Source organism: Homo sapiens, chromosome 1, assembly GCF_000001405.40.
Source record: "Homo sapiens chromosome 1, GRCh38.p14 Primary Assembly".
NCBI classification, from domain to species: domain Eukaryota; kingdom Metazoa; phylum Chordata; class Mammalia; order Primates; family Hominidae; genus Homo; species Homo sapiens.
In genome coordinates, this window is record NC_000001.11 from 62,278,867 (window position 1) to 62,306,043 (window position 27,177).

Consider the following 27,177-nt stretch of genomic DNA (forward strand, 5'->3'; position numbering starts at 1 on the left):
AGATTATAAGGACAGGCCAAACAGAGAAGAGATATTTATCTAAAGTTAAGTAGAGAGCAGATTTATGACCTAGAAGGCAAAGAGCTCTCCTAAAGGAGAGGCTGCATTATTTATCTGCTTATTGCCTCAATTCACTAGAAATGCACCGATTTGCCCAACGGCCTCTGGGCGCAGGTCCAGAGCACAAATACAATCATAGCATAAAATAAGAAACAGCAGATTCAAAGGCAGAATCCTCCACAAGGGAGAGGAGGGCAAGTGAGGCTGAGCAGCTACCAAGGATGACAGGTTTAATAGCAGGTTTAATAGGTGCTTTCCTAAGCTAGCGCGCGCACACACACACACACACACACACACACACACACACACACACACAGAGTGATCCATCATGCTGCCTTGCCTGCCACCTGCCATTCTGCATTCCTTCTCTTTCTCCCAGCACAAGAGGAATGCTGGGCTTTGATGAGGGAGTTTGAGCTGATAAGCTGAGAGACTACCCTCACATGCGGCTCTGCTCCTATTCATTCTACCTGGTGACAGGTATGCGGGAGCTCAGAATTCCAGGCACTGGGCCAGGGTGAGAATCAGTTAGGAAGACCTGACTCTGTTCAAAATGAAATTCAGATCAAATAAACCAACACATGGCCAACCTGGCTGGATTTGAATCATGGCTGTCATCTCCCACTTGTGTGATTCTGGGGCAATTATTTCATTTCCCTCTGCCTCGATTTCTCCATTTGTAAAGTGGAGATAATAATGCCTAACTTACAGAATTGTTGTCATTATTAGCACGAATGCACTAGAGAACACAGCCCAGAGTAGGCGCTCAGTGAAGGACCCTAACAGCAAGGATGGGCTGGTTCTGAATGCGGCAGGCGAGGATTCACTGAGCATGTGCTGTCTCCCTACAGCTCAAGAGTGAATGAGAGTCCAAGAAAATAATTCTGGAGAAAGTGGGAAAGTGAGTCTGGGGAGAAGAAAAAAGAAAGCTAGAGGAGGCTCAGAGCTACCTGGAATTCCCTACGGAGTCTTGCTTAAGAGAACAACAGATCACTAGATCCTTGTATAGGACCTACAAACACAGTCAGCTTCAGAGTTACACACAGACAAGAGAAAAGGGGACTTCAAGGGGACAAGGTAAGGAGGGAGAACCACAGTAATTATCTGAAGGGACAAGTGAAGTAAAGCAGGTGAGCGAACCAACCAGAGGCATTTAGAGTGTGAAAGAGAAATTCAAAAGCCTATATTCAGTCTCTGAAGTAAATGGGGAAAAACAGAAACTAGAGAGAAAGTGGCTGAAAATAAAGCCAGAAAGAAGGGGAGTAAAATGAAACTCTTCCAAAGGCCAAGACAGGGAGGGAAGCCTTCCCCTCTGGGAAGGCTTGTCCCTGTTCTGGGAGGCCCATGGCTGAAAGGAGGGAGCCTTTCTTGGGCTCATATGGGCAATCACATGGACAGCAGACCTCCCCAGTGTGCTGAGAAGGGACTGAGAGGCAGCTGGGCTAACAGGCCCCCGGAGCTTTGAGGGAATGAGTGGGTGTTCTGTGGGACCACTGCCAGGGATGCACTGAAAAGGCAGCTCTCTGGGGAGAAAGGCAACTCTTGAAATAAATGGGAACTGCATTTGGAAGAAGAGGCAGGGCGGGAACTAATGTCAGGTCCCTAAGTCCCGTGCCCGTGAAGGGCCATGTGATTCAAGGGGAATTAGAGGCTCTCTTTTTCCTGATATATGGTGATCTAGAAAAAAACATTTCATTAGAAGTCAGGAGATTGGGGTCTAGACTGTGGCCTTCTGCAAGTTTCCTGGGGACAGGAAGAGGGGAACATGCAGACATTCATTATGCTAGGTAGTTGTTACTCAACAACTTTCCATGCATTACGTAATTTAGTTCTTTACCAACCCTATGAAATAGTATTAATACCTGTTTATAGAAAAGGTGTTGTCAACTGTTTGCAAAGATAGCCACAATAATATCTGACCCTTGGGGTACTCCTCTACCACGCTGACACTGGATGATGGCCTTATGACTTGTGTCGGCCAGTGGGTCAACAGCAATATGACATATGCAGAGACTGGAACATTATCTGCACATTGGAGTCAGTCTGTCCTTGTGTTGTGCTTGAACTCTTCTGTCACCATGTGAACAAGCCCTAGCCAACCTCCTGGATGACGAGAGACACGTGGCCAAGTCATTACTGATACCCCAGATATGTGAGTGTGGCCATTCTAAGCCATCCAGCTCCCAGCCAAGTCACCCAGAAGCCCATGGACATGTGAATGAACCCAGAAAAGATCATCCATGCCAGCCCAAACCAGAATAATGGCCCTGCTAACACACAGAATCTTTTGAGAAATAATTAACATCTTTAAGTGACTAAATTGTTGGGCTGTTTGTTACACAGCAAAGCTAACTGATACATGTGAGGATTGAGGATCAAAGACATTAAATGACTTGTAGAATCACTTAGGTATAAATGGAGGCTTACCATATTGTGCCTCTTTCCTAGGCTAGGGCTGGAGATACACAAAATCTGAAATACATGCTTGAGCCTACCAGCACTGCCTGTTTGAGGGATATCTCCTGCAGGCCTTTCCTAGGCTATTTCCAGGATTTGTGGCAACAATTCTTTCCCAGCCCAAGTGCTTATCTTAAACCAGGCCCTACAAAGCAGCTTGCCTACCATCTGTCTTCTCCATCTTTGGAGCGCTGACCCTCAGTGTCTCAGGCACTCTTCATCCAATGAGTCTGTAAAACTTGTTGAAGGTTCTGAAAGAAAGGAGGATACAGAAGTGGTGAGTCTCATTAGCGTTTGAATAAGTATTGGGGAAACACAGCACTAAACAAAGTAACATCCATCCCTGCCTTTCTCCCAGGGTGCCCATGAGCTCACAGCCCTCCAAGGAGGAAGATTAAAAACCTGTACACATTTCTAGAGCCCAATTCTGGGTGTTTCTTCATGGAATATTAGCAATAGTTGACATGAAAAGAAGTGGAAGTATTTGGTCCAGCGGTCTTGCTTGGCAGATGAGGAAACTGAGGCTGAGGAGTTAATTGCTCTAAGGTGTCTCAGACTATTCGTGAAGGTGCTAGTATCAGACCCAGGCTTCTGATACCAGCACAGGGCTCTTGCCATAATCTCAAGAGTTGAAATCTACCTATCCCCATCCTGGGAAGGGACTTATAATCCACTTTGCGAAAAAGCTGGAATCAGAGTACCTATAAATGATGTGTGACATGTCAATCAAACAGAAGACAGAGATGACATAATTGCAAGTACTGACAGGGAGCTGCTACTTAGAGGTAATTTCTAACCATGGGCAGAACAAGGGGAAGTTCAACCTGGGTGGCCCGAAGACATGGGTAACTATTCAAGCAGAATATTGCCCTGGCTCTGAATTAGTGTGCCTTGAGGTTTGACCATAAATTCTCCCCAAAGTTTTAATCCATTTCCAGGACTCTTTCTTCAAATGGTAAACATCCTAGCTCCTGCCCCCATTACAATGAATCACCCAGGAAATTGGCTTTTTATGATTGTAACTCCACATACATCAGAATAATGAATTATCTGTGACACCGCAGCAGTGGAAGCAGGGTTGTTTTAGGAATTCCAATGTGCTTGACAATGAACTCCAGACCAGGAAAGTGAACCAGTGATGAGGGAAGGACTGGGAGAAACTGAGAGTGAAAGAAAAGGATGATGGGTGGCCCCCAGAAACCAAGGATGGAAAAAAGGGGACAAACAAGTAACTGGAGAAGAGGGCTGGAAAAGATGAGGCCTGTCAAATAAGAGAGAAATGCCAAAGTTTGCCACCAGAAAGTTTAGCATCACTTCTTCCTGCGAGTGCTGCTTCTGCCTCATCTCCTCCAGCCCGTTTGCCAAGCAGCTGCCAGACAGGCCTTGCCCTATCCAGGTGGATGGAGCCCCAAAGGGCAGGCATGTTTTCTAGAAGCAGAGACAATCCTTGCAGAAGGATTGGCACACTGAGTACCTTGCTTACCTCTGAGGCAGCAGGCAGTGCACCAGCACATCCTGGTTTGTTGAAAACAAAGAGCTAGAGAAGTTAGAGACAAGGGAGCTGAGAGTGTAGGTGGTCTTGCAGAGGCTGAGAGTGGCCGCCAAGGAGGCAGACGGTGGAGAGGTGTGGAAGGTTCTAACCTGGGGTGAGGCAGGCTTGCCCTTGTTATAAAGAGAAGGCTCCCAGGCAGAGAACACCGCTGCCTCTCTCACCACCCCAGCTCTGCAGTCTGCAGCAGGCGATGCTGGCATGCAGGAGGCAGTGGCAGGTGAAGCCTGCAGAAGAAAAGAGTGAGGTGGCAAACCCTAAGCTTGACCCTTCATCTCCACCATCGCAGCCTCTCCTGCTCCTGCTCCCCTCTCCCTCCCACCCCTGTAACATTACTAAGCAACGGGCAGAGCTGGGAGTACTTGACATTCATGAATTATCTCATGCAATCTTTACACCATCACCCAAAGAGGATTATTATTATTCCTATTTTTAAGGGAGGGAGACTGAGGCTGAGAGAGTTGACAGGGCTGATCCATGTCACATAACAAGCAAGTGTTGTAGCAGGATGTGCCCTCAAGTCTAGCCGACTCCAAGCCTGGGTTGGGAACAAAAGTGATTTGTAAGCCTTTGTCCACCCTGTAAGTCAGCCGGGTTCCCTGACACTATGACTGATCTTTAATTCCCCCTGTGAGGGGAAATGCTTCTGACTGGTGCTTCTCTGCCTCTCCCACAGTAAACACAAAAAGCCTCTGGGCTTAGAGGAGAACTGCTCTCTTGTAAAGCCTCCTGAGCCAAAGGAGAGCTCTGCTTCTCCAAGGCTGGAGAAGCTCCTACTGCAGAGGAGGGGGCCACTTGGGTACAGCTGGACTTTTGGCTTCACAAACTCTCATCATCAGCCTAGGGACTTTTCAATCACACGCCTAGCCTTTGGTTAGAATTAGGAATTCAGCCCATCGTATATCAGATCATATGATTTTAAAGAATTATTCAGCACACATTAGGTCAAATTTCATTAAAAAGAACTCTGTAGAGACCTCGAAGATTTCTCTTAGACTTGGATTTCTCTTAGACTTGGATTTCAGTAAAATTAATCATTTCAAGGCTACAGAAATTAAGTGGAGCTGACACCCAACTCTCAAAGGAGGGGTTTCTCGGCAACTTTTTACTCTAAAGGGCTCATAATACAGGAAGGAAGGAAGGAGGGATCTGTCGTGTGCACAAGTCACCACTTCCAGCCCCGACTCCCACCCCCAGCCTTCCGCACTTTCCTCCATGGTCCTAGCAACAGACATCGTGGAGCTTAGCTAAGGGAGTTTCCTTCCAGTGGGCAATGCTCAGTGTGGTTAGGTTAGGTAAAAATAACTGCCACATCAACATATGCATGCTACCTTGTTTGCAATAAAACAGAATATGAAAATAGCTTTATGGGACACAGTTCCCCTTTAAAATGGAATTTTGCAACTCTCTGGAGCATTTAAAGCTTTGACATAAAGCCATTTCTTTTGATCTCAGCTCACTGCAATCTCCGCCTCCTGGGTTCAAGCCATTCTCCTGCCTCAGCCTCCCGAGTAGCTGGGATTACGGTCGCGCGCGCTACCATGCCCAGCTAATTTTTGTATTTTTAGTAGAGATGGGGTTTCACTATGTTGGCCAGGCTGGCCTTGAACTCCTGACTTCAGGTGATCCGCCCACCTTGGCCTCCCAAAGTGCTGGGATTACAGGGGTGAGCCACGGCACCTGATCATAAAGCCATTTCTTACCCATTCTGTTAAGTTGTATCCCCACTGTTCAGAACCTTTAAATACCTGGTGTTATTACGTTACTTTTCATTTGTTTTTGTCCTATGCCAGGATCAAGGATCCAGAGTTAGGGCCCAACCTCTCTCCATAGCTCATCATATTCTAGATGTTTTGGGCATACATAGCTTGCTTTCTCTCTAGCTCTTCTCCCCTACTAATCTGTAAGCTTGTGAAGGTCAGAATTATTGCAAGTCTTATTCCCATGTCACCCCCAACTCCTCATGTCTAACTCACGGCAGACACTCAGTCCATGGTTCTTAGATGAACAAAATAAAAGGAACAAAATTGTCTGTCTTCAAAGGGAACCCATGGAAAGAAACTAACAAGAGCTAAGCACTTACACTGGGAATCAGCTACTGGGTATACTTTCTCATTTCATCCTCATACAAGCAATCCTAGGAAACAGGAACATGTCCAAGTTACAAACGAGGAAACTAAGGCACAAAGAGTCCATGTGGCTAATCCAAAGTTCTCCAGTTAATTAGGAGCAGGATAGCTTGTGTGACTCCATCATTCCACAGTGCCTTTCCAAGCCTATGGGGCGGTAAGGAGGTGAGGACCAAGGCTGACCATTCAAAAATCCAGCAAAGAAGTGGTCACTTGGCAGACAGCGATGATAGTCCACGTGCAGCTACCAGGCCAGACTGGAAACCATTCCAGCTGGGTCCACCCTCAGTGCCCAGGAACATGGGTTTCCCCAGGTAAGCCCAACTCCTGCAGCATTTATCCGCACCCTCTCCTCTCCACACTTACGCCTTTTATGATGCCATTTTCAAGCTCATTTCTAACCTCAAATCCAAATATAAAGAGACCTTCCCTTACTTAGTCTTGAAACAAACCTGGTTCTGTACTTTTGTTCTCTTCAAACCTCTTTTTATTCTGCAATAATAAAAATGTGGTATTTCATCCCAGAGCAGGCTGCATGCCAAAATAAATAGCACCTTGGATTTCCTTGAAAAGACAGCTTGGCTCAAGTCTCAGCCTCATTGCCACGAGAATTCTTGGAGAATTCAACCTTACAAAGTCAAGTATTTAGCAAGGTAGTTCACCAAACAACAACCCTGCCAATCCCTGCATGATCCCTTGCAAAGACAAAGCACTCTTTCCATAAGAAAAAAAAAAAAATCACCTGTACCTTGGACTGATCATGCCAAGATGATGAGAGCTTCCTCTTTCCCCATCCCAGGACCCCAGCCTTTCAAGTGCAAATATTCCCTGTGCCAAGAAGCAGGAGGCATCTGACCGCTGCTTCTAAACATTGAGAGGGCCGAAGCCGGGACACCAGAGGAGGTGAGAAGCACTGAGAAAGATTCTGCCAACTGAGTTCTCCAGCGGGCTCACCTCCTGCCGACCTGGCAAACAGAGATGAGTCCTGCTCAATAAATGACACATTAACACAATCTCATTAACTCCATTCCCACGTTTTTTGCAAGTGTGTGTCATTTTCGCCTGCATTGCAGCAGCTGAATCTGGAGCTTCACGAAGAAGAGAAAACAGTCGGGAGGAACGCTGTGCCCACATTACCTTCCCTTGCATCCTCCTGCTGCATAGCCCACAGCAGGGAGGACTCGTCTCCTTCCCAGAAAGCCAGGTTTCGGCTGCAGGGCCGGAGCTGATAGCTCGTGCCTTCAGCACAGCTGTGTCTGTTTCGCAGCTGTTAAAGGACTTGGTCAGGTAATCCCTGACCTTGCTGGAAAAGCAAATACTGACTTCCTTTTTGCTCCCGGGAATAGGTGAGTGGGGTCAGAAACGAATTCACTGCTCAATAAACTAAGACTGGATCTTGCAGAAAGAGGAAGAACGCTCAAATCCTTAACTAGAAAGTTAGTTCCCAGAGCTGCCATCGCTTCCGAGGAACACATCTAGAGACATCCAAACAACACACAATCTTCCTTCTTGACTCCTCCGAATCTGGCAGCTCATCTGAGCAGCTATAATTAATTATGAGCTTCTTCCTCCCTGCAGCTGATGTGGCTCATTAATGAATTTGTTCCTAATGAGGACGTAGCCTCCTTAGAGTTGAAACCCTTCAGTAGTGCATCACTTTCTTCCTGGCTCCGCTTTAGAAACATCCTTCCCTACCCCCTCCTGGGGCCCCAGGACCACATGAAGCCTCTGATCATTAAACAAACGGAAATCTGTCGGGGCAGAGCCGAGACAGGAACAATGACCAGTAAATTCCTGGGGCTGGACTGGCAGCTCCTTATTCCTGCTGCTCTACCAATCTGCTGCCCTAGAGCACCAAAACACACCCAGTTCTGGCAGGAATGAAAAAGCAAGGAAGTACCTGCTGTGACGACCAAATTACTGTTCAGTGGATCCACTTCCAGGCAGGGTTTCTAACTGCAGCGCAGACCAGAGACTCCGAGAGGCGGGGTGCAGGAGCCAGGGAGCAGGCAGCTGCCAGAGGAGCAAGGTTTCAGAGTGTCCCGGGCAAGCACAGTGGAGGGTCTTCCTACAGCCCAAAGCTGCTGCAGTTCTTAGGAGCAGAGACAGGTGTGAGGTGCAGGCACCAGACTCTACACTCTCCAAACCCTGTGCTGCTCCCGGACCTGAAAGGAGCGGGGATGGTCCAGGAGGGGCCAGGAAAGCGTCTGGGTTCCTTTATGCAGACTCAGTAAAAGGATTAGAGGGACCTTGTTCCTTCGCCTCCTGGTGCTCTAACCAAGTGAGGCTGTGCTGGGAAATGAAGCCTCACAGTAAGACACATCACATGTAGCCCTGACCTTCACTGATACTGACTGTCTGGATGTGCCTTCCAAGACCAGAGCAGGTTCCTGTCTAACCCATGCTGAAATTGATGCTGGCAAGGAGTGTCACCCTGAAACGCTGCCTGCATCGAGCCTGGTACACTTGCAAAGCACTTTCCGTCCTGTGTCTCATTTATCCTTGCATCAATGCTTGAAGCAGCCAGACCAGGGATGAATCTCCCCATTGTAAAGGTGAAGAAAATGAGAGACAGTCTAAGTGGTTTCTCTTGGGTCATCCAAGAGCAGAGTGTCCTGGGGTAAAGTTCTCTGTTCTTCCCATTGCCCTAGATCAAGTTCCTTACTTTTCTTGGAAGATTCTAGAGACTCTTGCTCAAGATGGAGGTTAGGAGACTTTGCAAAGTACACAGGATGACGTGGTGGTAGGCAAGTCTATGGAATACCAACATCACTTTTCTCAACTGGTAAAAGTATTTTTCCAGTTAGCTGAGTACGCAGACCAATCATCAGAATAAAAAAAGAATCCAAAGTATACCTTGAACTCTAAGGGTATAGAAAAAATATACTGCGGAGCAAACTGCTTCTCTGATACACTTCAAATGATCATTGACTATCCTTTCTAAACTGGCTAGAGAACAGCTGGAGGCACGCAGCATTTCTCTAAGATGCAGATGGAAGAAAAGCCCTCCATGTTACCAGCATCCCCAACCCCTATGCCTTACTCAGACGTATGTTTAAGACCAGCAGCCAGCTTCATGCTCCTACCAAGCCACACAGACCATCTCCTGAACCAAACATGTTTATCCACAAGAACTTTCCTGACAAGAATCACGGGACTGGAGGGAGGTTTGGCTCCTTTTGCAATTTAGAAATGCTCAACTTCTATGGCCCAGGTCCCTTCTGCCCCATGATGGAAAAAAAGGTGAACTGTCCAAGTCCAGCAAGATGGGGGCTAGGCCAGAGGGGAAAAGAGGTTCAGCTATCTGAAGAATGCACCTTTTATCTAAGCAATCCCTTAGGCTTTTGCACTTTACTCAGAAAGGTCAGCGCTTTGGTAGGCTGTATGGCTGCACAGGGCTGAGAAGGGCACGCTTGTTAGGTATTCACACACTCAAATAGAGCCTCTCTGAGCAGACTGGTCACAGACACAGTCATTCCCACAGAATGCAACTTAAATAGGCAGAGAAAGAAATTATGCATGTGAGACCTGTGGGTGCAGCCATCCAGGAGGGAAATCAGCTATTCTAAAGATTGACTCTACAAAGCAGATGTAATTTTCTGAGGGAAGAAGCTGGGCCAGTTGTAGGGAGAGAGGAGGCTGCATTAACCAATGAAAAATGCTCCTTGGAGGGAAAAAAGGCATTAGACTTGCAAGGAAAAAGACCCCCACTCCACATCTCTTTTTTCATTTGGATGCTTCCAAAATGTTCTTGGTCCGTGACTTAAACATACCGTAAAATCAAACTGCCAATTGCCAAATGAGGAAGTGGTATGAGCAGGCAATTCATCAAAGAAGAAATACAAATGGTTAATATTTGAGAAATGTATAACCTCACAAATTAATAAAAAAGATGTCAGATAAATCCTGACATGCCATACCCTACAATGAGCCGGGTACTCTGGTCCAATCCAAACAGCATCCTATTCCCAAAAAAACTCTGCCAAGCTTGTCCAACTCGCCTTATTTTGTTGTTGTTCTGTTTTGTTTTGTTTTAGGCTTTTAGTGCCTGAAGACATAGGTTTTAGTTTCTGTCTCTAGTGATAAGTGGAAAAGACGGATGAGGAAAGGTCTTTACTGGCCTAACCAGAAACAGAAATTAAGAACCCGTGAGTGCATTCTCTCCCTTGGACACCCCTGCGTACTGTTACTTCTATTGTCCAAAGTCAAAGCAGAGGCCTAAAGCACTTGCCCAGGTATCGAGACCATCAGAGCCAAGATTTGAATCCATGTTTTTCTGATGCTAATATGCTGCTCTTAACCATGGTACAGCAGACTCTCTTATGAGTTAGAAAAATGTTTTTTTCAAAGAGCCTCAGTGTTGATGAGGAGGGGACTCACCCTCCCCAGAAGATTGCAGCAGAGTGGGGGCAGCTGCGGCCAAGAGAGGAACTTCAGGCCGTGGCAATACCTCTGAGCACACCACGACTGTCTCCCAGTACACTGCCTGCGTGTCCAATGGCACTGTCCAGTTTGTGCATGTGCATAGGGGAATTCAAAATCAAATACAGCAAAATACAATGGTGAAGACAGAAGAAGACAAAAAAAGGTCATAGTCACATGTGATTTCTTTCCTTGGTGGTCTAGGAATCATAACTATTATGATGTATTCTTGGAAAATAAAAAATAAATTATTTGGGGGGAAAGAGATGGGAAGTCAACATAATTCTGCCACCTGGCTACAGCAATTTTCATGATCACCTATTTTGTATATTTAACATAATTGAAGGGCAAGTTCTATAGTGGACTTGTAGCCTGGGCTCCAAGTCAAGTACTAGCTGAAATGCCAGCTTTGCCAATGACTGACTGTATAATCTTGCTCACATTACTGAACTTCCCTGTGCCTCAGTTGCTTTGCTTGTGAAATAAGACTAGCAGTATTTCCTATAAGTCACGGAGCTGTCAGAAAGATTAAATAGGATGACAATACATGCAAACCACTTAGGACAGAGTCCGGTACATAGTCCTGTTCAATGAGTAAATACATTGGTTATTTTTAATATAATAGTAGAAATTCAATTATAAATTCAATTATAAATCCAATTTTGTATTCAAAATTCTATTATATAGCCATTTTTAAAAGTATAGTTTTACCTGCTTTGTAATGATTACTATAAATGGCTATACAAACGTCCATTGACTTGCACCTTATTTTCCAAACCCCTCCCTAGAGGGGGTCATGCCACCTCCTGTTTAATTCTCCCTTCAATGCTACCACAGCAGCCAGCCTGACAGACGGTCCTCACTCAGGTCTCCAGGGAAGACCCCATTTCCAGGTGGCTGGATCTCAGCTGCATGGGCTTTGAGGTAAGACAGGCCAGGTTCAAATCCTGGCTGCATGACCCTGAGAAAATGTCCTTATTCAAGAAGAGCACAGCTCAGTACACCGTGTGAAGACCGCAGGGGATAAGGGATGCAAAGTGCTTGTGCTGGTGCCCAGGATATAATAAACACTCAATACATTTGGCTATGATTACTTTTTAAAACCCACAATGTGAAGCAAGGAAAGGGCAAGGATCATATTTGTTTTCTTTCTCACCCCATTTTTAACACTTAGCATGATGGGAATTCAATAAAAACGTGTTGAATCAAATAAATAGATGGATGCATGGGTGGATGGATCAGAGACTGTCAGAGCTGGAAAGGATTTTTTTTTTTTTTTGAGATGGAGTCTCACTCTGTCGCCCAGGCTGGAGTGCAGTGGCGCGATCTCGGCTCACTGCAAGCTCTGCCTCCTGGGTCCACGCCATTCTCCTGCCTCAGTCTCCCAAATAGCTGGGACTACAGGCACCTGCCACCATGCCTGGCTAATTTTTTTTTTCTGTATTTTTAGTAGAGACAGGGTTTCACCGTGTTAGCCAGAATGGTCTCGATCTCTTGACTTCATGATCCGCCTGCCTCGGCCTCCCAGAGTGCTGGGATTACAGGCATGAGCCACCACACCTGGCCATTACAATCTCTCTGTGGTCTCACCAACACCTGGTTTATGTTTGTTTGCTTTAAATTATAGCCATCCTAGTAGGTGTAGTAGGTATGAATTGGTATCTCACTGTGGTTTTGATTTGCATTTCCCCAATGACTAATTGTGTTGACTATCTTTTTCATGTGCTTATTGGCTTTTGTATATCATCTTTGGAGAAATGTCCATTCAAGTTCTTTACCCATTTTTGAATTGGCTTGTTTGTTCGTTGTTGCTGTGTTGTACAAGTTCTTCACATATTCAGGATATTAACCTCTTATCAGATATATGATTTGCAAAAAATTTCTTCTTGATATATTTTGCAATAACCTTGTATATGGTATAAGATAAGCTTCCAGCTTCATTTTTTTGTATAATTTAACTAATTAATTAATTTTTTTAGATAGGGTCTCACTCTGTTGCCCAGGCTGGAGTGCAGTGGCACAATCATAGCTCACCACAGGCTCAAACGCCTGGGCTCTGCAATCCTCTCACCTCAGCCTTCTGAGTAGCTGGCACTACAGGTGCATACCACCAGGTACACCTAATTTTTTTTTTTGGTTATTGAGACAGAGTCTCTCCCTGTCACCTAGGCTGGAGTGCAATGACGTGATCTCAGCTCAATGCAACCTCCACCTCCCGGGATCAAGTGATTCTCCTGCCTTAGCCTCCCAAGTAGCTGGGATTACAGGTGTGCACCACCACGCCTGGCTAATCTTGTATTTTTAGTAGAGATGGGGTTTCACTGTGTTGGTCAGGCTGGTCTGGAACCCCTGACCTCAAGTGATCCACCCACCTTGGCCTCCCAAAGTGCTGGAATTATAGGTGTGAGCTACCATACTCAGACAACTTTATTTTTTTGCATGGGAATATTCAGTTTTCCCAGCACCATTTGTTGAAAAGATCACCCTCTATTTCCAGAACATTTCACCACCCCAAAAAGAAATGCCCTACTCGTTAGCAGTTATTCCCTATTCCCTCCACTCCACTCCCCATTCCCTCCCAGCCCCAGGAAACCATGAATTTACTTTCTGTCTGTATAGATTTGCCGATTGAGGACACTGCCTACAAATGGAATCATACACCACTGTGATCTTTTGTGACTAGCTTCTTTCACTTAACATGATGTTTTCAAGGTTCACAAGAGCTAAAAAGGATTTTTTCAGGTCACCTAATCTAACCCTGTTTTCAATGTCACACAGTACCTTGGTAATAGAGTCCATACAAGGGCCCATTCTGTGTTTTCTTCCTTAATAACCATGACCCTAGAAACACGTGAACACGCAGGAGGTATGGCAAGTTCTCAATGAGAACTGCACTCTAAGCCTCTCCTTCAAGGTTTTATGTCTGCCCTTACATGGTGCCACTTGACTAGACCAGTATTTCCCCATATTACCTATTGTTCAAATCCTACCCATTCCTCTCACCAGACCCCACCTCCCCCAGGAAGCCATCTGGAGAGCCTATTTGGGTAGAATTCTCTAATTTCTGAAATCCTATAGTAAATAACTACTCTTTAATCGGTGTGAGGCCACATGGGATTAGGAGTCCAATTTGTAACTATAAAAGCCTTCCTCCAATTGAGAATGGCAAATCTCTATTTTAATGGGAGGTGAACCCTGAAAGGCTTCAGAAATCTCAGTTTGATATATCTGGACATGTTTTGGATCACCTGTTCTACACAAGGAAGTCAGCTGATCACTGATTTGTCAGCCTGCTGGACAGGGTAGTGGCAAAAGTCAGCTTTGGAATCCAACAGACACGGGTTCAAATGCTGCTTTTCCTATATATTGAGACCTTGGGCAAGTTAACTAACTCGTCTCATGGTCCCTGTCTAGTCCTGCCATCCACCTTTGTCACTGGATAATTGCCTAATGCTTCTTGCTGGACTGAAAGCTCCCTGACAGCAAGAATCAAGCCTTCTTCTTCTGGGTCTTTCACAGTTCCCAGAGATCTCTTAATAGGGCCCTAGAAATGCCCCTGCCATTAAGTGTCTCAATCTTTGTGTGTGTGTGTGTGTGTGTGTGTGTGTGTGTGTGTGTGTGTGAGACAGAGTGTCACTCTGTTGCCCAGGCTGGAGTACAATGGCACAATCTCGGCTCACTGCAACCTCTGCCTCCCAAGTTCAAGTGATTCTCCTGCCTCAGCCTCCTGAGTAGCTGGGATTACAGGCATGCACCACCACACCCCGCTAATTTTTTTTTTTTGTATTTTTAGTAGAGATGGGGTTTTGGCATGTTGGCCAGGCTGGTCTCGAACTCCTGATCTCAGATGATCTACCGGCCTCGGCTTCCCAAAGTGCTGGGATTACAGGTGTGAGCCACCATGCCCGGCCTCAATTCTTGAAATCTATAATTCTCAAAGCAGAGTCCCTGGCCCAGTGATAGAAACTAAGGGTTTCTAAAAGAATAAAAAATGCATCTCAAATATGTGTATTCTCTTCAATTCTTACAAGCAAGTGTATTACATGGGAATTCATTTTTATAAGGAACTAGGAACATAATATGTGAGTTATTGAGGGTTAATAAGCCTTGGCATTAATAAACAAAAATTAGTGTGTTAGAAGAGTTTACTGAGAATATTCATTTTCTATTCTGTAAAGAAAGGTGACCACCATCCATCACTAAACAATACAGCGAAACTCCTGTGTATGCACCCAGCCTAAGAGGTGGAATTCCAATTCTCAGGAAGGGCGTTTTGGTATTAGTGCAGAAGACATTTGTTGTGTGCTTTTCTTCAGCTACCCAGCACTTTTGTGAACACCCTTCCTATACTTGGTTATTTCCTTCTCAGAAGACCCACCTCCCCAAGATTGAAACTGGAATTTACAGCAAGTGACTATGGGGAGATGGTGGCGTGATGTTCAGCTACTTCATATCCCTTAATAAATTCCTCTTCTATTATAAATAGATAGGCCTGCTAGAGCAGGTTCTGGTGTTCGCAACCGTGACCCTTAATGGCTACAACGCAGCATCGGCAATCTCTTGGTTTTAAACTGCTTCTACTCTATTAATTTACATTACTTATAAAATTACTTTTAGGAGTTTCTGTTGATTGTTGTCCTGAGTATTTGCTGCATTACTTTGATTAGTTTTCTCTTCTCCTTTAATCCTTTGTTACTACCAAATTCTCTCCCACTGCAAAGTAGGAGCGAGTGGACTCAGTGGGCCACAAAGTCTTTTGCTCCCCTGAACTGGGCTACAGTCCAGAGGGCTTGGAAACCACAATTTGGAGTAAATGTTTCCTAGGAATTCAGCTCCACTTCCTCCCTCCTGGGTCACTTCAGCGAAAGCCTCTCAAGGGTAGGCACAAATACTCCACAGGGGGGCACCCCTGCACCCACCCTCTTTGGGCAGCTCCCATCCGAGCAGCATCATCCCTGGTCCAGAATTCAGCAGATGCCTCTGCAGGCATCAGCTGGGTGCCACAGCTCGAGTTGCAGGTGCAGACAGTTTAGAGCTTGCGTGGGCTGTTGCATCTGCCTTCTGGGTTGGGAGGAAGGTTTTTGTTGGCTCAAATATGCACAGGCTGCACATTCAGGAAAATCAGTTTAAACCAAACTGAGGCTAAGTGATCCCCAGAACCTGGGTGGAGAAAGCGATGTTTCCAGATTTTTCAGGCGGGAAAGCTGTTATTATTTCACAATGCCCCACCTAACCCTCTGGCAAGTTCAGTCTGACAAGAAGCGGACATGTGTGATGTGGGTCCAGCAAAGATGGTGACCACCCAGCCTCGGCAGCATGCCAGCCAGAGGAAGGGCAGGTATCATCAGAGATGAATCAAAGAGACTTCAGGAGAGATGAAGTGCACCAGGAACTTCTCTGAACTTCAACTTTCCCTTGAAAGAGATGGGATTCCTTCAGTGTTCCATCCGGTAATACAAAGGAAGGTTATATATTGTTGTGGCCTGGGTTTTGTTTTGCTTTAATGTGGGCAAAGTTACTAAGAAAAGGCATTGCCAAAATTGACAATATCACCCAGGTTTATATCACCCCACGGAGCAGCTCAAAGGTGTCACAGAATGGTGGGGCATTTGGAGCATAGCATAGGCAGACTTTTATTAGTGACTCTGCTCACATCTTTTCTTTTTTTTTTTTGAGATGGAATTTTGCTCTGTCGCCCAGGCGGGAGTGCAGTGGCGCCATCTTGGCTCACTGCAACCTTCACCTCCCGGGTTCAAGCGATTCTCCTGCCTCAGCCTCCCAAGTAGCTACAGGGACTATAGGCGCCCGCCACAAAGCCCGGCTAATTTTTTTGTATTTTTAGTAGAGACAGGGTTTCGCCATGTTGCCCAGGCTGGTCTCAGGCAATCCTGGCTGGTCTCCTGAGCTCAGGCAATCCACCCGCCTTGGCCTCCCACAGTGCTGGGATTACAGGGGTGAGCCACTGCACCTGGCCTTGCTCACATCTTTTCTTCCAGCCAGGTTATGGGCTCTTTCAAATCAAGGTTCCCCTTTTGTGCTCCTGGGTATCCTTTATGTTCAATCAGTCCACTGATTATCTACTGTTGGGAGGAGAGAAATATAAAACAGGGTCTTGGACGACATTTGCACCCATAAAGGGGCAACTGAGGCTCAATGACCTGCCCACCTCATACAGCAGGGCCAAGGTCAGAGTCTGCTTTTGAGACTCCTAACCCAGTGCTTTCCTTTACAAATCTCATGTACTGGTCCTCAGTGTGATATTGGAGGACATGGAATTGATGGTTTCTTTAAAAAGAATGTGGCCAGCGTCCCCAGTTTAAATGTGGAATAATGGAGTTTTTATTGTGGTAAAGTGTGCCAGAGAACTGCTCATACTTCTGTTGGTGATCTTTGCTTGCAGCCTCTGGCTGCAGGGAAAGTATAACGCATAACAATAAAAATAGTTGCCAACATCAATTAAGTATTGACTCTGTCCTGGGTAAGTCCTTTACCCATCCTTACTCAGTGCCTAGGACAACCTGGGCACGACTCCTCTGTAAACCAGATAAAGATGCTGCCTCATGGCCCAGCCTCAGTTCAGGGCTGTGTTCAAAGAATCAGCAGTTAAGGAGAAAAAAGTTAATTGGAAGCAATCCAAACCTTCACTGCGGTCTCTAGAGAAAATACCAAACGGGAAGTGCATTCTTAGCACGAAGCAAAAGTCTTAAATTTTTTCTTTCCCATCTCTGCTGTTCTAGGTGTCTATTTCCAGCAGAGTGACTGCCCCAGCAGCAGTGTGTGCCGTTCCCCAACATCCTTATGTGAATCCTCCCACCTGGTTCTTCACTCCCTCACCTCCCCCGCCTCTGGCATCTACTCATCCCTCCACTGCCAGCCTCTCTCTGGCCCCTTCATTGGGAATTCCAATATTGGCTCCATTTGTCCATGGCTTTTTCATCACTGAATGACCTCAATCTGCATAATAATGGAGGGATAACAGCCAAGAAAGCTCTGCCAGAAGTGTCCTTTGTAGGAAATTACTTAGAAGGCTCCGAAAGCACAGAAATTATTTTTGGTGGTTTTTTTGGTTTTTGTTTTTGTTTTTTTGAGACAGGGTCTCGCTCTGACACCCCGTCTGGAGTGCAGTGGCATAACCACAGGTCACTGCAGCCTCAATCTCCTGGGCTCAGGTGATCCTTCTGCCTCAGTCTCCTGAGTAGCTGGGACTACAGGTGCACACCACCATGCCCGGCTAATTTTTGAAACAGTGTTTTGGCATGTTGTCCAGGCTGGTCTTGAACTACTGGGCTCAAGTGATCTACCCGCCTTGGCCTCCCAAAGTGTTAGGATTATAGGCGTGAGCCACCACATCTGGCTGCAAAGATGTTTTTAATACTCATATGTTGATGGTTTTATTCCCTGTACACTCATTTTATAGATTAGAAAACTAGGGCTTAATAATACTAGTACTAGGCCAGGCTCAGTGGCTCACGCCTGTAATCCCAGCACTTTGGGAGGCCGAGGCGGGTGGATCACCTGAGTTCAGGAGTTTGAGACCAGCCTGGCCAACATGGTGAAACCGCGTCTCTACTAAAAATACAAAAATTAGCCGGGTGTGGTGATGCGCACCGATAGTCCCAGCTACTCAGGGGGTTGAGGCAGGAGAATAGCTTGAACCCGGGAGACGGAGGTTACAGTGAGCCAAGGTTGCACCAAGCTGAGATTGCACCACTGCACTCTAGCCTAGGTGACAGAGTGAGACTCCGTCTCAAAAAATAAATAAGTAAATAAAAAATACTAGTAAATACTTACACTGTTATAATAATAATAATTATTATTGCTAGCTAGATACTGTTGTCCTATATTGTACAAATGCTAACTTATTTAATTTCAGGATGACCATATTAGGTAGGTGCTATTATATCCTTTTCACAGATCACAGGTTCAGGGGCACAAATCTAGTAAGTGGCAGGACTGGAATTCAAATTGAGGTTTGTCTGACTCCAGAGACCGAGCTCTTAACAACAGTGTTCTTTGCCTTTTGGGTCCTATTTCTGTAGCCATCTATGAAGCAAGTAGCTTTCGGAAGTCTAAATAGAAACAGAAAGAACCAGATAGAAGGATTTAGCAAAGGAACGAATCTAGCATTAAATTCCACCACCAGCCATGCTATTAAACATCAGGCGATTATTAAAATATAAACATGGTTGGGGACACGCTGGGTCTCTAAATAAGACCAATTTACTTGTGAAGGAATAGCTAAAAAATTCAGTGACTTTCTAATCCACTGCAAATTATTTAATCAATAAAACACAATTACTTTTCAAGTAATCTTTGAAAGTTCCAAGGAGTCTTGAGGTGTTTAATTGCTATTTAACCAGATAGCAGCAGTTGAGTTACACAGATATCCATTTCATATAAAATGCTCTTTGCAGATGGAACACTCTGTCAAATTTTCCATTAGAAAGACATATTTTCAGGGCAGATACAAGGGTTTTAGGTTACAGATTAATTTCGTTTCTCTGTTGTTCTCTAGGCAGGGCAGGAGGAGGGTGGAATGGCTGATGCAGGCATCCACAGCTCCTGCCTTGTTAACTCGGGAGCACGATGGTCCTCCCTGTCAATAATAAGCAATGGATACAAAATCAGAATCACAGGGATAGGAATCTGTGGGGCTTTTTCTTTTTTAAATATGAAATGCTTCATGAATTTTTGTGTCATTCCTTGTGCAGAGGCCATGCTGATCGTCTCTGTATCATTCCAATTTTGGTATATTTGCTGCTGAAGTGAACACAGGAATCTGTGTTCTAACCAGCCAGCCCTCCAGGTAATTTTTATGCACACGATAGTTTGAGAAGTACTGTTCTAACCTACTGTTAAAAATCTTTGGTAAACTGTAGTTCATTGTTTCTCAAACTGTAGTATGCCTATAAACCTGAAGATCTTGTTAACATGCAGATGCTGATTTGGTGGGTCTGGAGTGGGGCCTCATAGTTGGCATTTCCAACAAGCTCTCAAGAGATGCTGATCTGCTGGTCCCAGCACCAAGTAGCAAAGTGTGTGGTCAGGGTATTTGTCTGGTTGGGGAGGAATGGGAAGGAGCTCAACAGCCCTAATCATGATTCCTAGCACCAGCACTTGAAACCGTGTGACCTTGGGTAAGTCACTCTAGCCCTTGAAGCCAGCTTCCTCAGCTATAAAATGGTACAAAGTAACACTCTCCACTGTATAAGGCTGTTCTGATGGCTACATGCCTATACCTTACACAGTACTTGGCATGTAGAAGACACTGAAATACAAGCTGTGGTTGCTGTTGTTTTTGAGGGAAGGAAGAAACTGGTAAGTGCCCAATAAAAGTCAGTTGTTTTGTTATTATTTATTGAGAGTTGTTGTGTGGTATATTAGGCACTGTGCCAAGTACTACACTATTATTATTTACTCTTCTCAAAGACTCTATGTCTCTATGTATTATTTTTTTTTTTCTGTTTAACAGAATAGGAAGCCTAAGCTCAGAGAGGCTTAGTAACTTGGTCATAGTCACAAAGATAGTAAAAGGCAGAGCTAGGGATGAATTTAGGTGTTCCTGCCCAAGATTTTTTTTTTTAAGACAGTGTTTTGCTCTGTTGCCCAGGCCGGAGTGCTGGATTACAGTGGTTAAAATCACAGCTCAATCTAGCCTCGACCTCCTAAGTTCAAGTGATCCTCCTGCCTCAGCCTCCAGAGTAGCTGGGGCCACAGGTGCATGCCATGATGCCTGGCTAATTTTTAAAAAATTTTTTGTAAAGACAGGCTCTCATTATGTTCCCCAGGCTGGTCTCAAAGTCCTGGCTCAAGTGATTCTCCCGCCACAGCCTCCTAAAGTGTTCAGATTACAGGCATGAGTGACACACCCAGACAACTGCCCAAGCTCTTAATGGCCCAGACTGAAGCCTGGTTCTGTCTGTGCCCACCTGAGTCTAGAAAAGGTGGTGAGCTGGTACCTGATGACCCCACAACATGGCACAGTACAGGACCGGGGGTGCAGAGGTAGAGAATGGGCAGCAGCAGACAGAAGCCTCAAGGAAGGATTGCCAAGGAGCAGAGAAAAATCAGGCACAAGAGAAGGGGCGGGACCAGGTTCCAAAAGGATTTAGACACCCAGCAAGCAATCAGGAATAGAGCCTACAGTGATGAGGACCGTGTCTTCTTTACTTCTGTTTCCCAAGTGCTTAGTACAATGCTGACCATAGTGCTGCCTCATAAAGATGTAGCAGCTGAATTAATGAATTATTTAAATAATGGATTAATTCATATTTTGAGGGTAGCAAATGATTTGAAATTTGTAGGTAGGATGTTTTGGAGTGGGAGAGAGATGTTCACCTCTGGACTTTTCTTTTTTAAAAGAGTGAGCCGTTCAAAATAGAACAACTGGAATATTTCCCTTGGAGTGCTGCCAGTGCACACAATGCCTCCTTTTCTTCCCAGGTCAGAAGGCGTTTTGGGCCCAGCCCCTCGGCATGTGTGTGCAGCCTGCAGCCTGTCCGACATACTTACCCACTTGTGCTCTGGAACACAAAGGCCTCCCACCTGCCAAGCCCAACACAAATGCCTCCTTCACCACAGTCCTCTGGTGTATGTGGGTTCAGCTGCTGCTGCTGCTGAAAGTCCCCCTCCAGGGCAAAAGTGAGGCTCCAGTGGCTCCAGTCTCTCCACGACTGCTCAGAGAAAGAGACCACAATGCTTTCTCAACCATTGAGTCCCCTTCACTGGCCACAAGGCATGAAGTTCAATAGCCCAGTAACTTGAGGAAAGAAGAAAAGAGACCCTTTTCTGTTCAAAGACCAGCCTCGACAGATTGTGTGCAATCATCCATTTATCAGAAATTCTTCTTCAGGCACTGGGCTAGGTTCTGTGGACTCATGGATGAAAAAGACAGGGTTCTTTTCTTTAAGGAACTCACCGTCCAAAATGGGAGGCAGAGACCTAAACAAGGACCTATGTGGTGTTAGAGAGGTGTGGCTGGAGCATCTCAGAGGATCAGAAAAACATCACAGATCTGGTATTTTTGAGCTGGGCGTTGAAGGATGAGTAAAAGTTAAGCAGGCAGATGGGAGAAGCAGCTCTCTAGCTAGAGATGAAAACATGTATGGTGGGCTTGAAGAATGACCAGCAATCCTGGCCTAGAGTACAGGGTCGGGGAAGCGGATGGCGGAAGACAGAGGTTGGAAGTCAGCTCATTTTATTTTCTAGAATAGGAAACCATCAAAAGTTCTTAAGCAGGGAGGAACAAGACGAAAGCTGGGTTTTAAATACAACTCTGACTGCAATGAGGGGCGTATGTCCCCAGATTCTGGACTATTAGTAGACATTCAATAAATATTTACAGAATGAACAACTGACTTCAAGAGGGAAATAGCAAGTCTGGCAAGCAGTCTGGCCAGACTTAATACCTTTCCCTAAATGCTCCTTTTATTTATTTTTTTTCTTGTAAGAGAACAGAAGCTTTTCTTCTCCTGTACTGAACCATTACAAATGTATATAATCTGAAATTGCAGGCATAATTACATAACGTCTTACATGGTTGGCAGTTTCATGAGTGTTGGCTTTGTCTTCCTGACTGAGTTTCGGCTCCGTGACAGCTCAATGCCTTTTGTGTTCTCTCAGCATTGCCCAAAAGCATCTATCATGTGCTGGGAACACAGTAGGCTCCAGGTAAGCAGAACATGAAACAGACTTACGGAGCACAAGAGCTGGACAGGCTCCTGCAATTACCGAGTTCAACTCTCTCATTTCACAGATGGGGAGACTGGGAGAAAGAGAAACATATGCACTATGTGGAAATGTGTGCACGCTCCTACTACTGGGTTCTTGCATTGCACAGCAGGGACCTGGGCTCAGTTAAGATTTTCAGGTACTAACACCAAAGGTCCAGACATAGACTGAAATTAACCAGTGATGAACCTGGCCAACAGCAAGGTGAACAGAACACCGACACACAAACAACACAGGCACAGAAGAATGTCTGACATACATGAGTGGTATTCAGCACCCACCGCTTATTAAATTATGAAAACAGCGTAGCCTGGGACTAGACCGGACAGAGGCAGGAAAGCACAAAGATTAAGGGTGTGGGCTTTGGAGTGTGTGGATCCGGGTCTGAATCCCAGCTCTGCCACTTACCAGTGTGTGTTTAGGTTCCCTAACTGCGCCCACCGCCTCTACTGCCAGCCCAGCGTCCAAATAGCTAACACGAGAAAAAAACAATTTCCTCCTTATAGGATTACACAGATGAATTGGGATGAGGTATGTAAAATGCTTATCACAGTGCCTGCAGTGGGGATTGAAAGGTCACCAACCAGAGAGAAAGCAAGGAAGAAAGCACTTGGCACCTAACAGCTGGGACAAGGGAGAAACCTGAAGCTTAGAGATGTAGATTCAAGAGCCATCCATTTCCGTGTGATCACCACGTGGTTGGGGGTGGGGGGTGGTGAGAAGCAAGAGCAAGCAGAGGAGTCTGAGGAGCACCCCTGAAGACAGTCATGCATGGGGAACAGGTAAGAAGGAAGAGCCAGGATGGGGTACAGCTCAGAAACACAAAGGGGGTCAGTTTTGAGAAGACTGTTCTATGATGTCAGATGCTGTGGAACTTGAAGACCATGTGAGGCTCGGGCTTAGTTTCAAAAGAGCAGGAGGCAGACGTCAAGGGTTGACAAGATGGTTGAAGCAGCAGATGGGCTACGCTTTGGCTGTTTTCCAGTGCAATTCAGGAGAGAAAGGGACAGTAGCTCCAGGGAGGGACAAGGTGAGCTCTGGGAAAGGCGAGCATGTTTGCAGGTCTGGAGGAAGAAGCCGAGGGAGAAGGATGGACTTCTAGATGCAAGAAAGAGGAGCTGGCATAGGAGTCGACATTTACTCCAGGCACTGTGCTAAATAAAAGATGCAACACATGTTGAATTTACTCATTACCACTACCTTAGGAGCTAGATGCTTTTATTATTTTATTTCATATTTTACAATGAGAAGACTAGGCAAAGAGAGGGTGCTTACAGACTGAATGAGCCCCCTCTAAAATTCGTATGTTGAAATCCTAACCCCCAATGTGATGGTATTAGGAGATAGGGATTTGGGCAGATAGAGCAGATGAATGGGGTTAATGTCCTCATAAAAAAGTCCCCAGAGTGCTCCCTGGCCTCTTCCACCAACTGAGGACTCAGAAGAAGACAACTGTCTATGAACCAGGAAGAGGGTTGTCCCCCAGACGTGGAATCTGCCAGCGCTTTGACCCAGGACTTCCAGCCTCCAGAACTGTGGGAAATAAAATTTATTAAAATTTATAAGCCACCCCGTCTATGGTAGTTTGTAATAGCAACCCAAATGGACTAAGACAGAGGTGAAATAGTTTACCCAGGTTAGCAGTAGGAGAATCTGAGATTTGAAGCCAAAAGCTCTGGCTTAAGAGTTCATGGCTTTTACCCAAAGGGCCAGTCTGCTAGAGTTTCTGGAGGTGGGAAGAGAAGGCTTTCAAAGTTTGGCTTTGGCAGGGGAGTGGAGAGCAAAGATGGAGAAAAACAGCAAGGTGGGAATGAGGAAGTTTAAGCCACATGATCTCCATCTTCTCAGGTAGGAAGAGATCAAGAGCTGAGACTGAGGGCTGTGTGAATGGACTTGGGAACTTACGAAGTGTAGATGAGGTTTGCAATAGTCAGTGAGGATACTGGGATGAGAGGCAGCTGACACACATGGAGGATGCCAAGTAGCAGATGAAGTCAAAGGGCATGGATTTAATGGATCCAGCAGTCCCAAGACAGGGTCAGAGAAATGGGACAGTAAAGTTTAATCCAGGATGGGGCTGACAAAAGTCAAAGGAGTTGAGAGAGGGAGATTGTAGGGCACAAAGAAGGGCATGATAGCTGGCATAATGGGGAGGGGCGGTATTTTCAACATCATGTCATCCATACCAACAAGTGCAAAGGTGAGGACAGGGCGAGCAGCCATGATGTGTTATAGCTGAGGTTTCCTGACCAGCCCCCCGACCCAAAGGCACCCTAATTACAAAGGTGCCCAAAAGCACCCACCGCCCATCCCAAACTAAGTCGTCTTGGTTCATAACTCTGCTGCCCAATATCGTAGCCACCAACTACATGTTAGTGGCTAACTAACTACATGTTACTTAACTAACTACTGAGCACTTGAAATGTAGCTAGTCTGAATTAAAATGTGCTGTAAGTGTAAAGTACACCTGAATTTCAAAGACTTAATATGAAAAAATGAATATAAAATTTCTCTTTTTTTGGTACTGATCACATGGTGAAATGATAATATTTTGGATATATTGGGTTAAATAAAATATATTAAAATTAATTTCACCTGTTTTCTTTTTATTTTCTTTAATGTACTCCTAGAAAACTTAAAATGTATTTCAAATTCTTTTTCTTTTTTTCTTTTTTTTTGAGACAGGCTCTCATTCTGTCACCCAGGCTGAAGTGCAATGGTGCAATCTCAGCTCACTGGAACTTCCGTCTCCCAGGTTCAAGCGATTCTCCAACCTCAGCCTCCCAAGTAGCTGGGACTACAGGCACACACCACCATGCCTCGCTAATTTTTGTATTTTTTGGTAGAGACAGGGTTTCCGCATGTTGGCCAGGCTGGTCTTGAACTCCTGACCTCAAGTGATCTGCCCACCTTGGCCTCCCAAAATGCTGGGATTACAGGCATGAGCCACCATGCCCGGACCTTCAGATTCTATTTCTATTGGCAAGAGCTGGTCCATATACCAAATTTGGGCTAAATGAATGTTTTAGGCCCATTTAACCAAGACGTTGATCTGAATAGCAACAGAACTGATAAGTTTTGATTTGTTGGACATGGGAATGGAGTGCCAGGGAGCTGTGACCTGAAATAAGAAAGAGGTGCTCACTGGGATACCAGAAGCAGATTTTTATGATGTGCCACTGATGGGGGCAAGAAAAGGGCCAAACATCCAAAATGAGACCAAATGTCAAAAAAGCCCACAAGCCTTCCAGTGATGACAAGAAGGACCCTGGACCTGCTTCCAATCCAGGATTCTCCCCTTCTAGCTCTGCACTGGGCCTTAACTTCCCCAGCTCCTGTCTGCCCCCTCCACTGACCTCAGGTGACCTCCAAACTGCCCCACCCAGCCCCATCCTCTTCGCTTGCTCCCACCAGTCTCTTTAGGACACTAAGCCCAACAACCTCATGCATTCCAAAAAGCCTCTCCCAACCAGCCAGCACTGGGGCCGATTACCCGCCCCCTCGCCAACAGCCTCCCCTTTCAGGAGATTCCTGCCAACAATTAAGAAAGGAGGCAATATGATACAGCGCGACCGGCATGGCTTGTGAGCCAGGAAATCCAGATCCTAACTCAGATTTGTCCAATTTCTGCTGTGTGAGTTTAAGGCATATCACAACTTCTCTGGGCCTCAGCTGCTTATCTGCTACCTACCACTACTGTCCTAAGTCTATAGACTTGCCAGAGGGTTCAATGAGATAATGGGAGTACAAGTGCTTTGCTAAAGACGAAGTGATATCCAAATGAAAGGGAATATTGTAATCTAGAGAGGGAAGCAGAAGAGATGTGAAAACGGAAAAGGAGGGTGCAGGAAGGAGGTGTCACTTGCAAAGACAAGCTGTGAATCCCCTCCATTGTACTAAGAGGGGTTGACCTTTCCTACGGCAGGAGGGCACCTCCATCTCCCCAAGAGCCAGCACAGGCCAAAGCCTTCCTATCAGAGAACACCACATACCTACCTGGCTTCAGAAATTTTCCTGCAGCTGAATAAATAAAAGTGATTCCAGGGAAAATGTCCTAAACAAAACCCGAATGCAGCTGTTGATGAATTGCTTGAGATTTTTTTTTTCTTTTTTGAGACAGAGTCTCGCTTTGTCGCCCAGGCTGGAGTGAAATGGCGTGATCTCGGCTCACTGCAACCTCCGCTTCCCGGGTTCAAGCAATTCTCCTGCTTCAGCCTCCCAAGTAGCTGGGATTACAGGCGCCTGCCACCAAGCCTGGCTAATTTTTTTGTATTTTTAGTAGAGATGGGGTTTTGCCATGTTGGCCAGGCTGGTCTTGAACTCCTGACCTAAGGTGATCCACCTGCCTCAGCCTCCCAAAGTTCAGGGATTACAGGTGTGAGCCACCATGCCTGCCCCTGCTTGAGATTTTAATGTTAAACAGCACTGAAAGGAGGATTTTAAGCTCCACTGTGAAAGTTATAACTCATCCAAGGTTCACTGGCCCTCTGAACCCTCCTGCAACACGGTGAAGGAAGAAAAATCGGGAATCCAAAGAATGGAAGATGTTAAGCAGGGGTTGCTTTCTCCTGACACTGCATTGCGCTCTGATAACCCAGTACCCAAAAAGCTGCTTTGAACACATTCACATTTTATTTAACCCTCAGTAGAACCTTTGAAGGAAGGAATTATCATCTCCATTTAAAAGAACTGGCAACTAAGGTTTGGAGGTGCCCAGTGGGGATTCAGGACTAGCTCTTTCTATTTAGTAGTGTTTCCCATTACAGACTCTCTCTCTCTCTCTCTTTTTAACACAAGGTCCTGTTCTGCTGCCCAGGCTGGAGTGCAGTG

The 27,177-nt window shown here is 45.6% G+C and overlaps 1 protein-coding gene and 1 pseudogene across 8 annotated transcripts in view, besides 1 other annotated feature; both read right to left on the bottom strand.

Annotated features, from left to right (window-relative positions):
* KANK4 (KN motif and ankyrin repeat domains 4) overlaps positions 1–27,177 on the bottom strand; it is an 83,270-nt gene that overhangs the window by 42,702 nt on the left and 13,391 nt on the right. For 4 of the 8 annotated variants that reach the window (NM_001320269.2, XM_011540845.4, XM_017000483.3 and 1 more), the window contains exon 2: positions 2,683–2,768. In NM_001320269.2, coding sequence (NP_001307198.1) covers positions 2,683–2,698 — 16 coding nt within the window. In that variant the 5' untranslated portion in view covers positions 2,699–2,768. Of the gene's footprint in view, positions 1–2,682; positions 2,769–4,158; positions 4,289–7,332; positions 7,468–8,095; positions 8,288–27,177 lie in introns of those variants that run through there. The other 4 variants (XM_017000484.3, XM_047447839.1, XM_047447850.1 and 1 more) reach the window with 3 other exon arrangements.
* Positions 17,281–17,340: an enhancer, noted in NCBI's record as "active region_1115". NCBI's record gives its function as "activates an Ori minimal core promoter by ATAC-STARR-seq in GM12878 lymphoblastoid cells {active_cell/tissue: GM12878}" and the evidence as "EXISTENCE:reporter gene assay evidence [ECO:0000049][PMID:35858748]".
* On the bottom strand, positions 19,283–19,390 carry RNU6-371P (RNA, U6 small nuclear 371, pseudogene; annotated as a pseudogene).